Genomic DNA, 13,458 nt, shown 5'->3' with positions numbered 1-13,458 from the left:
AGGAGTCCTTCTCCAGACACTCAGGGCCCCACCCAGGAGGCAATCACAAGGCACTGTGGTGCTCTCAGGATCATCCTTTTTTTTTTTTTTTTTTTTTTTTTTCACTGAAGCTTGCTTATATCATTTTGTTAAATAACTTTTGGATTGAAATATAGGAAAAAGTGGCAAAGATGAGGGCCAGATACAAGGCTTACGTAGATAACTAAGTCATGAACTTCCCAGTGGTCTAAAGAATAAAGTTTCTTATAAGACTTTTTAGGGGGAAAATCAAAACAGATTTTCAAAAAAATTTAACATTGAGCAATCTCTCAAAAACAGTTTGCTAGCTATCAAAATACTGACAAAAATGTAACATCAGTTATTTGAAATATCCAAGTCTAACACTGATAATAACAATAAACTAGGAATATTCTGTGGTTGAATATTTTACAATCTTCTTCCAAGAAAATAAAACAAAATGGGAAACATATTTTAAACACAAGAACATACAAAAAGTCTTAAAAGAACATATTTGAAATTTTTTGGAATGAGGACAATCAAATACATTATTACTGTTGTGTGTTTTTGCTGAGGCCTCACCAAGTCACCACTCTGGGACCACCAGCCCATTCCCCAGTCACTGGGGCCAGACCAGTCTGAAAGCTCAGCCTGAATGGCAGGCAGGGAGGGCAGGTGTGGCCTGAGGACAGGGTGAGTAATGGGCCCACTGGCCGTTCCTCCTCCCAGCCCTGATTCTGGGCACCAGAGGCCGCTCTCCTTCCTGCCCTGTCCATGCTTCCCTCCTCAGCACGGTCATCATAGGCCCTACTCCATGCCCCCGTCCCTCACAGACGGGGTGGCTCTGTCCCAACAAACAAGGCCATTGGTGGCTGCTGAAGTCAGCCTTAAGGAAATAAAACAAAAATCTCGAAGAGCTGTGCATTTTTTACTTTCCCTCTATCAGAGTGTGTGAAGTGTCTTATTTGTGTCTGGAAACCAGCTCTGTTGCTTAATCCAGGTATCCCCTCTGCGTATTCCGGCCTAAAGTGGGGGGTGTGTTCTTTCCTTAACTCACTTTCATGCCCATGTACTAATTCCTCTAGATTTTTTTTTTTTACAGTGGGTACAATAAATATCATAATAAACAGGATTAAGAAATGCCCTCTGAAAGACGATGATCCTTCCATCTCCTCCTCCCTTTCCACATTTGATTAATTTTCCTAATCATGAGATTGTCCCTTCCTTTCTCTACAAATGTCGACATACCCACACCATTATCTTCTCGACTCAGTTCACGCAGCTCACACTATTGCTCTATGCAACTTTACCCCTTCCTTTCCAAACATAAACCCTCCCCCAACCCAGTGTCCCCATTATGCCTGTCATCATTTTTCGGCTGGAAAATGAGCTATCTTCCTTGACTGTGAGGCTTCTTCTGTTCCAGCTCACACCTGTTACATATTTCCCCTTCCAGGAAGCCAGTCCTGCCTCATCCTTGGTAGGCACCCTCTGGACAGAAAGCCTGACATTTACTTTCATGCCAGCTTGTCCCTCCAAAATGTCAGTGTCCTAGTAATACAGAACTCTTTTTGCAAAGGATCTTCCAGGGCAGGGATGGGCCCCACCACAGTTTCCACACATGCAGAAGGGATTGGTTGAATAAAACTCCGATTTTTATTTTTATTATTTTGTTTTTGTTTTTGAGACAGAATCTCACTCTGTTGCCCAGGCTGGAGTGCAGTGGCGTGATCTCGGCTCACTGCAACCTCCATCTCCTGGGCTCAAGCAATTCTCCTGCCTCAACCTCCTGACTACCTGGGATTACAGGCATGCACCACCATGCCTGGTTAATTTTTGTCTTTTTAGTAGAGATGGCGTTTCACCATTTTGGCCAGGCTGGTCTCAAACTCCTGACCTCAGGTGATCTGCCTGCCTCGGCCTGGTCTGTGTTTATATTATTTTTGTTTGTTACTGGTTCATTACACTGTAACCTACACTAGAAAAGAAAAGTACCTAAAATTTTGGTACTAAAGTATTTCTTCTCATCTTGAAAACAACGTCTGACTTTAAAGGCTGATGTAAGAGAAAAGCAGAAATGTGTCCTGGTACTGAAGGGTGTTGGCCGAGGCAAGGGCAGAGAAGAGGATGGAGACTTTCCCAGGGGGGTCATGGTGGGCATGTGACAGACCCCGCAGACCCCGAAACAGGACCTGCAGGCTGCGACATGATGTTTAAGGTTAAGGGTTCTGTTCAGCTCTTGTTTGTACCAGTCTCAGAGGCAGGGATTGCTGTAGGTAGAAAAACTGTTCCTCTTCCTCCTTGTAGGGAGGAGTTGAGGCATCTTTATCAGGGTCCTCAATAACTGCAATGGTTTAGAATCCCACAGGGAGCCAAAATACTGAGCCTCAGCCCTCTCCACAGTCACAGACTGGGAGGTTCCAGGGGGTCCTAACAGCATCTGCCGTTGGTCCCGAAACAAGCCTCGGAGCACAGGTCCAACACCAGCGACCCCAGCGGAGCACAGGCCCAACAGAGCTGGTGATCGTGAGTGAATGGCATTGCTGAATGAATGCAGAAGTAACAAACTGGTTCGGCTCTCATCATCATCACTAGTGGATGTTTCAACTTTAACTTGAGAAGTTATTTCACGGGATAAGTTAGATGTTACATATCGTCATAGACATTTATTCTAAGATAGTTACCTGTTTTTCCTGTGCCTTCGCGTTGGGGTAACTTTTCATTTACGGAACCTAAAAGAGGAAAATAAGGAGTGAAATGAAATTATTTTGGACTCTTAAATGGCCATCACAAATTAAGTTATGCACATATTTTTGCTCCATTTTGACTAATTTGCCGTGCTTCGGCATGTTCTACTTAAATTCTGTAAGCTGTCTAGTACCCTGAGGGGACACTGTCACCTAAACACTCAGACCCTGGACTCAGAAACAAAAGATTAGTTTCTGCTTCTGGCGCTAAGGGGTTGCACATGTATATAAGACCTTAAAACCCAATATATTAGTCTCTTCACCTCAAAAATGTCATCATAGCCATAACATACATACCCATGTTGGGGTACTGAAGTGAATTAGGTAAAAAAGGAAACGTTTTTAAAATCTTAAGACATTACACAACCAAAGATAACTAAAAACCCTGATTTCAGCTTGATTCTGATTTATAGAGGAGAATGGCGAGGAACTACCTTTTGGTAGAGTATTGAAAATCTACTAACTAATGTGTGACCAAGTTTAAATGTTTATATGATGCTGAAAGATGCATATTACAAATAGAAAGTGTAGTTCTTTCTCTTCCAACAGACTGAAGCCACTATATGGATCCACTTCCCCCTCTTCATTAGAATACCAACTCGAGAAATAAAAATAGTTCGTCTCAGAGTTTACTGGCAGTTGAATATTCTGTTTAGAATTAACGTGGAATTCCCATAGCCATACACATGCCCAGTAAAACTCCTCAGGGGAAACATCTTAGAACTTGAAATTATTTGTTTTTGTTTTCTTTTTTTTTCAATTTTGCATATGACAGAAATACAGACCAACATTCAAATTAAAAATATAGCTTATGACATTTTGAGGATGTTTATCTTATTTTTGGGAAATGCAATAGTAATGTGGCAGGAAATTTACAAGCAATTCATTGGATGGCAGAGAAAACGGAGTAACTTCAAGGCGCCATCCATCCTCTGGCACTCTCAGCGGACACTGCCTCGAGGTCACAGTGCCCAGACACCCCTAAACACATGTCAACGGTTCCTATGAAGGAACACAGCGCAGCCACCCCAAACCCTCCTCTGTAACAGGTACTCATCAGACAATGCTGACTTCAGAAAGCTGAATGAGGATTTACACGGGAATGTTCTCAGCGGTTTCCCTGCAGGCTGCATATCTAAAAATAACTAAATAATATGCGTTTGGGAATTTAGTGTCCCCAGGGGATAAAAAGGAACACAATTCTCCTGGTTCATCTGCCAAAGCCAGCCTTTCTCTCTTTCCCAGCTGTTACTGTTACCATTTGGTTACATATTACATTGTTTCCAGGCCTTGCAATACAAGGTTTTTCTTGGTAAGAATCCCCTAGGATACAAAGCTAACCTCACTGTGTGGCCACCTCCTGAAGCTCTCAAAATCCTCCTTTGCTTGTTTCTCCCTTTTGGATCATCTCTTTACAAATCCACATTTCTTAAAGAGCTTAAGCTTCTCAGTCATCAGTTTATTTTTATCATGTGTTCCCGAAAGAGGCAAAAAGTATTTTCTACTTTTGACGGGAAATGATCATATTTTGATAATAGTTCTGAATATTTCTGTGCAGGTTTTAATATCGTAAGGAAAATGTAAATATGCTAATAATTAGAATATCTTTCATGAGAGAGTTTCTCAATTGAAATAAGAAAATATTTTGCACTGTACAGACAGAACAGTACAGACTGCAAATTCAAAATTTCGCCTGAGGTCAGAATCCAACATTTAAACATTCTCTACACTCAGGCAGCCTCTGTCTCTGAGCCGACCAGCACTGTGGCTTTCTCTTCGGGCCCTTGCATTGAATCAGTGTTTCCTTAAATAAGTCCACACAAAGTTAATCTGATCTTGTTCTTCATATGTAAGAGATGATTTCAAGACAGAACCCAGCGTCCCTTGATAACCTGCTCCGTGATTCATGACTCAAATATTTTACAAGACAGAAATTGGAGGAGATCCTGATAGTGCATTGACTTCACCTTTTAACCACCTTGGGATGAAAAGATGATGCCCAACCTTCCTGCCCCTGCCTTCCTGTAAGATCCTGGCCTCCAGGATGGGAAAATAGCTCCACATATTTCCACAGGCCAGCAGAGCCATGCAAGCACACAAATCCAGACCCAAGAAAGCAACTCTGATGCTGTCATTGCATTTTTCTGGAGATAAGGATTTGCTGAACTTCCAAGTGTTTATAACAAGCAAGATTGCCGGCTGTACTTGCAGAAAAGGGGCCGAGAAAGAAGGGTTGACTGATACGCACAGTGTCTGCAGACAGTGAACACCTTTGTGAACCCCGGGCTGGAGGCTGGACCTTAAGGATCTGCTTGCTGTTCACAGACACAAAGAGGTTGCTAAGTGATCCCCCTCAGCCTTGGATTCCAAAGGACACATCTGAATTGCTCCCATTTGTGAGATCCCATTCCATCTAAATGCTATTCTAAAGGGGTGGGTTTTGTCATAATGGGGATACGAATTTCTGGTGGAAGAAGCCACAAAGTACAATGTGAGGAAACGTCTCCGGTTTAAGGGAGGAATAATAGCTGTTAAGTCTTGTAGCTCTGAGCACTTGGTTCAAATCCAGCCGCTCTCAGCCTTAACAACGTGTTACCAGAACAGCCCAGTGGAGGGAACGGTGTTATGCTGATGGAGGCAGTGGTTTGCATAAGCTCCTTCCAGACGCCCTTCCCAGGTGAGTGAGGGGAGGGAGGTCTGCGGCACAGACGTGAGAGGGGTGAGGGGCAGCTCCCTGCAGGGAGTCCTCCTTCAGAGCAGCTAAACAAGCCTGCGGCTCACCCCTTCCGAGAACTTCACATCCTGGGGGCAGGTTTACAGCATCAGATGAGGGAGGCGAGAGAAAAAGAAAAGGGAACAGCAAGGGCTGCGTTCTCTGGTCTAGACGGCGTCTCTGTGCTATTGGGCTTTTCTCAAGGTTCCTGCCCTCCCATCCTCTCATCAGGACAACATGAGGGTGACAGGAAAGAGGGTGCCAATTTCTGAGGATGTGGCGCTGCAGGGAGAAGACAGGGCATGGGCAGCAGAACAAACGTCCCTCCCTCCTAGCTCCGTGCCCCTGGCCAGGCACCTTCACCACTCGAAACCTCTGTTTCTTCATCTCTGGAGTGGGCAGTGTGGTGAAAGCCCACCAAGTACAGCTGAATGGACCTAGCAGAGCAACCCACACATAGGAGTGCACAATGGATGTTCACCAAAGATGTGCTGTGTGCGCCATCGGAAGCTGCCTCTCCACGTGCTCTGCTGGACACGCAGCTGGGGAGAGGTCCCCTCCGGAAGAGCAATGCTCCCCACTCAGACCAAGCCATCCAAAACAGAGCAGCCTCTAGGAGGGCACCAAATGGCCTGCAGCCCTCAGGCCCTCGCCGCCATCACCTTATGTGCATTCATTCATTCCTGGGCTCACCCCCTCATACACACCTGTCACGTGTCCACAGGAAACGACGGCAGGGACGCAGCACTACACACTTTAGTCCAATTTGGGGAGGCGGGCATTAAACAGAATTTACTCAAGCAATGTCTATTGCAACCGTGTACACAGCTGATGTCTATATAGCTCTTACTGTGTGCCAATCCCTGCTATGTCCTTCACAGACTTGAAGTCATTTAATGTAGATGCCAGCCCTGCGAGGTGGGACTGCCATCATGCCCGTTATACAGACAAGGAAAGTGAGACCAGAGGGGTAAGTAACTGGCCCAGGGCCACTTAGGAAGCGGCAGAGCCAGGATCCAGGGCCTGCTTTTTTAGTCCTCAGGAGAGCTGACTTTGAGCAGAAAGGCCTCTCTGAGGAAGAGTAAAGGGGTGAGTAGGCATGGGCCAGAAAAGAAGGGAGAGTGGACCGGGAGGGCCAGGAGACCACGCACAGGCTGGCAGAGAGCAGCACACAGCCCATCCACCACCACAGGGATGCCAAGCTGCTCCAGATGCTGGAAGTGCCCCCCTGCAAGCCCCACCTGTTAGGAGCGTTCTGTCCCCACTGGGCTTGCCCATCTGGCAGGACTCTCTCAGGCAGCAGCCTGCTAGAGCCGGTGTGGAAGGCCTGAGCCCGCTGTCCTGGGACCCAGACACCATGCACAGTGTGGCCTGTGAGGCTTGTGGGCTCTGGTTGGCATCAGATCCACGATTTGATCTCAGGACCCTTCCCACTTATGAACGGACCAAGGGGTGGTGAGAAGGGTGGAAAAGGGTGGTGTGTGAAATGGTGCAGTGGGACGGAGCTGCCTGTCTGGGCGCTGGCATGGAGATGCCCTTGGAGTCGGAGTTCAAGAAAGCCGGCCAGCCCCGTGGGGATTCTCTGTCAGTGGCAGCTCAAACAGGTGCCTCTCTGGCTAGACAAGAGATGGTTTTCTACACACAGTGATTTTCATGTTTATAAATAAAATTTAAGTTTTTTGATCTAAGAATATATAAAATCAGGGGAGGAAATAGAGAAGCCATCTACATTTTTTGCAATCTCATGCTTCAGTCAGCATGAAGACTGAGAGGGGACATGCGGGCATTTCATGTGGCCGTCCAGGTCCCGTCAGTGTCAGGGAGCACGAGCCACAGTTACTGAGCACTGCCCAAAGCGAAGGGAGGAAGCGACTCAGTCCCCTGGTGGTTTTCCTGAGTTGACTGCCGGCGTCCCTGAACCACCTGGGATGGGACAACAGAAAACCTGACCCTGGGGCTCATCTCTGCTGCTGAGGACTCCGGGGATGTGGTCAGCAGCCCTCTCCTCTAAAGGGCCTTTTTATCTGCACCAAAACACCTGCTTCTGCAGGGGTCACCCCACTCCCCCAGATTCCAGCAGGGGTCACCCCACTCCCCCAGATTCCAGCAGGGGTCGCTCTGCTCCCCAGATTCCAGCAGGGGTCACCCCACTCCCCCACATTCCAGTAGCGGTCACCCCACTCCCCCTCACATTCCAGCAGCGGTCACCCCACTCCACCATATTCCAGCAGCGGTCACCCCACTCCCCCACATTCCAGCAGCGGTCACCCCACTCCCCCAGATTCCAGCAGGGGGTCACTCTGCTCCCCAGATTCCAGCAGGGGTCACCCCACTCCCCCACATTCCAGCAGCGGTCACCCCACTCCCCCACATTCCAGCAGCGGTCACCCCACTCCCCCACATTCCAGCAGCGGTCACCGCACTCCCCCACATTCCAGCAGCGGTCACCCCACTCCCCCACATTCCAGCAGCGGTCACCCCACTCCCCTACATGCCAGCAGGGGTCACCCCACTCCCCACATTCCAGCAGGGGTCACCCCACTCCCCACATTCCAGCAGCGGTCACCCCACTCCCCCACATTCCAGCAGGGGTCACCCCACTCCCCCACATTCCAGCAGGGGTCACCCCACTGCCCCAGATTCCAGCAGGGGCCACCCCGCTCCCCCAGATTCCAGCAGCGGTCACCCCACTCCCCAGATTCCAGCAGGGGTCACCCCACTCCCCCAGATTCCAGCAGGGGTCACCCCACACCCCAGATTCCAGCAGCGGTCACCCTACTCCCCAGATTACAGCAGCGGTCACCCCACTCCCCCACATCCCAGCAGGGGTCAGTCACCTCACTCCCCCACATTCCAGCAGTGGTCACCCCATTCCCCCAGATTCCAGCAGAGCTCACCCCACTCTGCCAGATTCCAGCAGAGCTCACCCCACTCCCCAGATTCCAGGGTGAGGAAGTGCCTCTGGGCTTCCCTGCCATGTCACACAGGTGGGCTTGGGAGGGCTGAGAAACTGTCCCCAGGTGCCCCTCCGAGGGCAGGGGAGGTGAACTCCAGGCCAGGCCCTTTCCCCTTCGTGCTGACAGAACTGCATCCATCCACCCTGTGGGCTCCAGCCACCTGAGACTCCTCTGCACTCCTTAGACTGCAAGACTGGCCGTGGCAGGGAGGGTGTCCTGCCAGAGGACCGAGGGCATATGTCTCTCGGCCCCAGGGCAGCAGCGGTCCTGTGTTCTTAGGGGCTCCAGGCCTGTGAGAAGCCAACCAGCCACTCGGCCTCCTGGGGTGAGTCCTAGCGAAGAACAGAACGTGCTTCTTACATCCTGCAGAGCACTGTATTAGGATAGACGCTGCTCTCCCTAAATAGGACCAGCTTTCAGCTAAGCAAGTCTTCTCACAGCCTGCAGAGTGCTGTATTAGGACAGACACTGCTCTCCCTAAATAGGACCAGCTTTCAGCTAAGCAAGTCTTCTCACAGCCTGCAGAGTGCTGTATTAGGATAGACGCTGCTCTCCCTAAATAGGACCAGCTTTCAGTTAAGCAAGTCTTCTCACAGCCTGCAGAGTGCTGTATTAGGACAGACGCTGCTCTCTCTAAATAGGACCGGCTTTCAGCTAAGCAAGTCTTCTCACAGCCTGCAGACTGCTGTATTAGGACAGACACTGCTCTCTCTAAATAGGACCGGCTTTCAGCTAAGCAAGTGCTTCTCAAGCCTGCAGACTGCTGTATTAGGATGAACACTGCTCTCCCTAGATAGGACCGGCTTACAGCTAAGAAATAGACAAGGCCTTTGGACCAGTCAGGGTCTCCTTGGCATGAGCCAGAATCCCGGCACTGGCCGGCCGAGGGAGGTGACCACGGGCTTGTCTCCCCTGTACCCTGAGAGCTGCCACCTTCATTTTCACTCTTGTCCTGACACTGGCAGGAGCCCCGACCCTGCTGCCCCGACCCTGCCAGGGTGTATACCCTAGGCTTCAGACACACACAACACCTGTCCTCTGTAGTCCTGCTGCCAGAACTCAGGGAATGCCTCTGCTCTATCCGACTTCACCGGGTCCCATCCCTGAGCCTCACCGTGGCCACAGGTTGGGGCCAAGCAGGACTTGCACGCACTCCTTGTTGGGGACATTCTGGAGCAGGGACGGCACGGCCCAGGTCCACAGTACCCCCAGGGGGTGGCACAGCCCAGGTCCACACTGCCCTTAGCTCCTCCCACCTCATCTCCCCTCTCTCCACACTGAGTCCGGGGGAGGCTTAGTGGAGAAGCAATTTGCACAGGAGGAATATCACCTATTTTCTATTTTCCTGAGTGCCCATGGTCAAATAATCCTCAAGATAACATGACTGGAAGTGGTAGGACCTCCTTCCTGCCTCATCCCAGGGAGGCCCTGGGTCACCGTGAGGCTGAGCTTCACCCCCTGGCCCATGCGGGACATTCAGAGTCACAGGCACCGTGCCCTGGGACCCAACCACCTCCTTATCCGCCAGCTCCTGTCAGCCTCTGAAGGCACTGCTCCCAAGTATTCCTTCTTTGTCTCAGCCTTGAGCTGCATGGCCAGGCCAGGACCCCAAGCAGGCAAGACGTCCCTCACCCGGGATCAGGAGGGGCCCTGGCAGCCACAGGCTCCCCCACTGGCCCCTTGACCATCCTAGGATCCCGTGTTGAGATGGTCATGGATGGCTGCCCTGTGGGCCTGTGTTCCTCTGGAGTGAGGCCCCTCACCTCAACCCAGGGCTTGGAGTGTGGGGCCAGCCACGAGCACCAGCGCTGCCTGGAAACTCGGCAGAAAGCAAACTTTGGCCACACGACAGACCTGCCAGGCCAGAAACTCCAGGAGCCGGCACAGCCTGGGCCCATCAGGCCCTCCGAGTGAGGTTGGCACGTGTGAAAATTCGAGCCAGAATCCAGAGAGAACGGCCGGGCCCCTGTGCCGTGAAGCTGCATGGCTGCTGCGTTATTCCTCACGTGTCCCCAGGATCCCTGTCACTGCTCATGCGTCTCCCTCCCATCTTCCCCCGGCGGCGCCCCTGTGCCGTGAAGCTGCATCACTGCTGCGTTATTCCTCACGTGTCCCCAGGATCACTGTCACTGCGCATTGGTCTCCCTCCCATCTTCCCCCGGCGGCGCTGCCTCTCTCCTGACATCCTCACCTCCAGCTCAACCTCAGTTTTGCCACTTCGGTGTTTCTGTGGATGAAGAAACCAAATGCAATCCATTTGTTTTTGCTCAGTGATCCTTTATGTTATTTATGGACTTGGAGGAGGGTTTCGGTGGACTTTGTGGCACCGGCTTTTATGCTTCGTGGGTCTTTTTCTATCCTAGTGATTCTGCCTTTAAACAGTTGGGATTCCTGATTTGAGGTGCATCTGATAAAAGGAATGTTCTGAATTTACTGATTTCTGATTTGAGACCCTGATTCAATGGCAGGAGAAAAATGTCTGAGTACAGCTGTATCACTCTTGCTAAAGGGCCACACAACATTTTAATAGTTTCATAAATCTTTGCAACATTTAACTGTTGTAGCTGCATATAGTGAAAAAAGGTGCTGTAAAATAATTAGCATTTGTCCAAAAAATAATTAGAAGAAAAAATAATATACTTGTTTTTATGTACATAAAATATCTCTGGAGGCTGGGCACGGTGGCTCCTGCCTGTAATCCCAGCACTTTGGGAGGCCAAGGTGAGCGGATCACAAGGTCAGGAGATTGAGACCATCCAGGCTAACACGGTGAAACCCCGTTTCTACTAAAAATACAAAACATTAGCTGGGCGTGGTGGCGGGTGCCTGTAGTCCCAGCTACTCCGGAGGCAGAGGCAGGAGAATCGCTTGAACCCCGGAGGCGGAGGTTGCAGTGAGCCGAGATTGTGCCACTGCACTCCAGCCTGGGCGACAGAGCCAGACTCCATCTCAAAAATAAATAAATAAATAAATAAAAATAAAATCTCTAGAAGCACTCAGCCATTATTCTTTAAATAGACCTATACAAATTGGGGCCATTTACTTCCAAAGACCTCTTGATTTCTTTGGGAGCATTTTATTAACTATTAGAAAACAGGAGCGAAAAGTCACTTGTAGATGAGGTGCAACAAAGGGCCATTTTACAGGATACTGTTCTCAACTCATGTGAGGCTCCAGTACAAATTAGCCGCCAAATTAAATGTACACTAAAGTATAACAGAGGAGCAGATTATAAAAAACACAAGCATTAGACACCAGAAAGTACTTTTTCCTGAGGTTAAAAGTAATAAATATTTTTCCTGAATAGAAAAAGTTACACCAGAATATTGTCTATCAGAATAGTTGTGAATAACTCAACATAAAGTCCAACTTTAAAAAGAAAAGTGAAGCAGAGGAAAGGCTGGGCCCAGATGGGAGCTTCAGCCCCAAGGGCCTCTGGAGTCATCACCCAGGGAAGGGCCAGGGCGGGACGCAGGGGAACCTGACTTCCAGTCCGGGCCCTGGCAGACGCAGGGACCTCCCACTCTTCCCAAGCCGGCCTGAAGCGGCTTGTCAGACTAAACCTACACCCTGTGGTCTTTTTCTTTAACATTTTATTTATTATTATGTTTTTAAATTTAGTATCAGTTGAACACTTTCAGAATTCAATCTGAATCTTTTATTGAAAATTTTACAAATCCTGTGTTGGCTGTATCAAATTACTATTTTATGTCATCATGGATGTAAAATAAATGTCCTCGATACTATAAAAGGTGCTATAAATTTACGTGTTACAGAGTAAATTTAACATTTTTCTCTGAAAAAAATTCACAAGTTTTTAATTGTTTTAAATTTTTAAATTTTTATTTTTTGTAGAGATGGTGGGGGGTCTCACTTTTGTTGCACAGGCCAGTCTCAAACTCCTGGGCTCAAGTGATCCCCCTGCCTTAGCCTCCCACAGTGCTGGGATTACAAGCAAGAGCCACCACTCCCTGCCTACAAGTATTTTAAACAGATAAAATTCAGATTTATATTTGATATTGTGGCTTGATTGCTGAAGTGACCACCTCTCATTGTTTTCATGGCCATCTAGAAAGAGGCCTCAATTTTCGGTGCATTTCCTACTTCTCCTTAAGGTTGTTTGTTTTTACATTTTCTTTTAAATTTCTTTCACATTTCTTTCAATGGTATTGAAATATTTTACTTTAATAACTTTCACTTTTCAAGAAAAGACCTACGAAGGCTAAAGAAAAAGCCGTTTTGAGGTGGAGACAAACAGCAAGCTGGATTCTCTCCAAGGCACAGGCTCTCCAGGTCAAGCCAAGCCACTGCACACTGGCCCTGAATGATTTCTACCAGGAAGTGCTTCAGAGACATTGGAGACCAAACGCAGCTGCCTCGTTGATCTCAGGATTTGGGAATTTAATTATTCTGGGTGATCCTTTCAAGTCCCTCAGCTATGTAGGGTCCTTAACTTAGTGCCAGGGAAATTCATGTGAAAAATTAAAAATTCAGTTAGCTTTGGCTTATGAAGTGTATTTTTTTCTGAAGTCATTTAGGATACTACTACAAACATGGAGTTCCACCATTTCAGATGGAGGACAAGACTTTAGGCCTTGCAGAAAAATGCAGAAGTCATAGTTAAATAAATGTATATCATGTACTGAGATTCATGCGACTCCAAGATCATCCATCATTTATAACAGGGCCTTCCCCAAACCCAGATTTAGAAATCTCTGGGATGAGCATCCACAGTGAAGATGGACGCATAGTCATGTTCAGACCACAGAGAGGAAATTCCTAGAGCAGGGAGGAAATTCAGACCGCAGAGAGGAAATTTTAGAGCGGGGAGGAAATTCAGACCGCAGAGAGGCAATTCCTAGAGAAGGCCACTGACCTACTGCTGCCTGTCACAGGTATCACACAGACTTTAGTAATTAAAACCAAATTATAAATTTGCATGTTACAGAGCTTGTTAGGAAATAAATGGGAAGAAACAGATGTCTTCTTCCCCATGCAATGGGAAAGGACTCCTTCTACGCCAGACACAGCTGTGTCAGGTGGA

At 48.4% G+C, this 13,458-nt stretch overlaps 1 protein-coding gene across 4 annotated transcripts in view, besides 1 other annotated feature; it reads right to left on the bottom strand.

Moving 5' to 3' along the window:
- Positions 1-13,458, bottom strand: part of SMOC2 (SPARC related modular calcium binding 2) — a 226,809-nt gene that overhangs the window by 121,639 nt on the left and 91,712 nt on the right. For all 4 annotated transcript variants that reach the window (NM_022138.3, XM_011536066.2, NM_001166412.2 and 1 more), the window contains exon 5: positions 2,682-2,729. In NM_022138.3, coding sequence (NP_071421.1) covers positions 2,682-2,729 — 48 coding nt within the window. The remainder of the gene's footprint in view (positions 1-2,681; positions 2,730-13,458) is intronic.
- Positions 5,104-6,031: an enhancer, noted in NCBI's record as "NANOG-H3K4me1 hESC enhancer chr6:168941003-168941930 (GRCh37/hg19 assembly coordinates)". NCBI's record gives its function as "activates a minimal SCP1, AML or CMV promoter by ChIP-STARR-seq in naive H9 embryonic stem cells {active_cell/tissue: H9 hESC(naive)}" and the evidence as "EXISTENCE:reporter gene assay evidence [ECO:0000049][PMID:30033119]".

Source organism: Homo sapiens, chromosome 6 (genome assembly GCF_000001405.40).
Source record: "Homo sapiens chromosome 6, GRCh38.p14 Primary Assembly".
NCBI classification, from domain to species: domain Eukaryota; kingdom Metazoa; phylum Chordata; class Mammalia; order Primates; family Hominidae; genus Homo; species Homo sapiens.
This window is presented reverse-complemented; position numbering and strand designations above follow the sequence as displayed.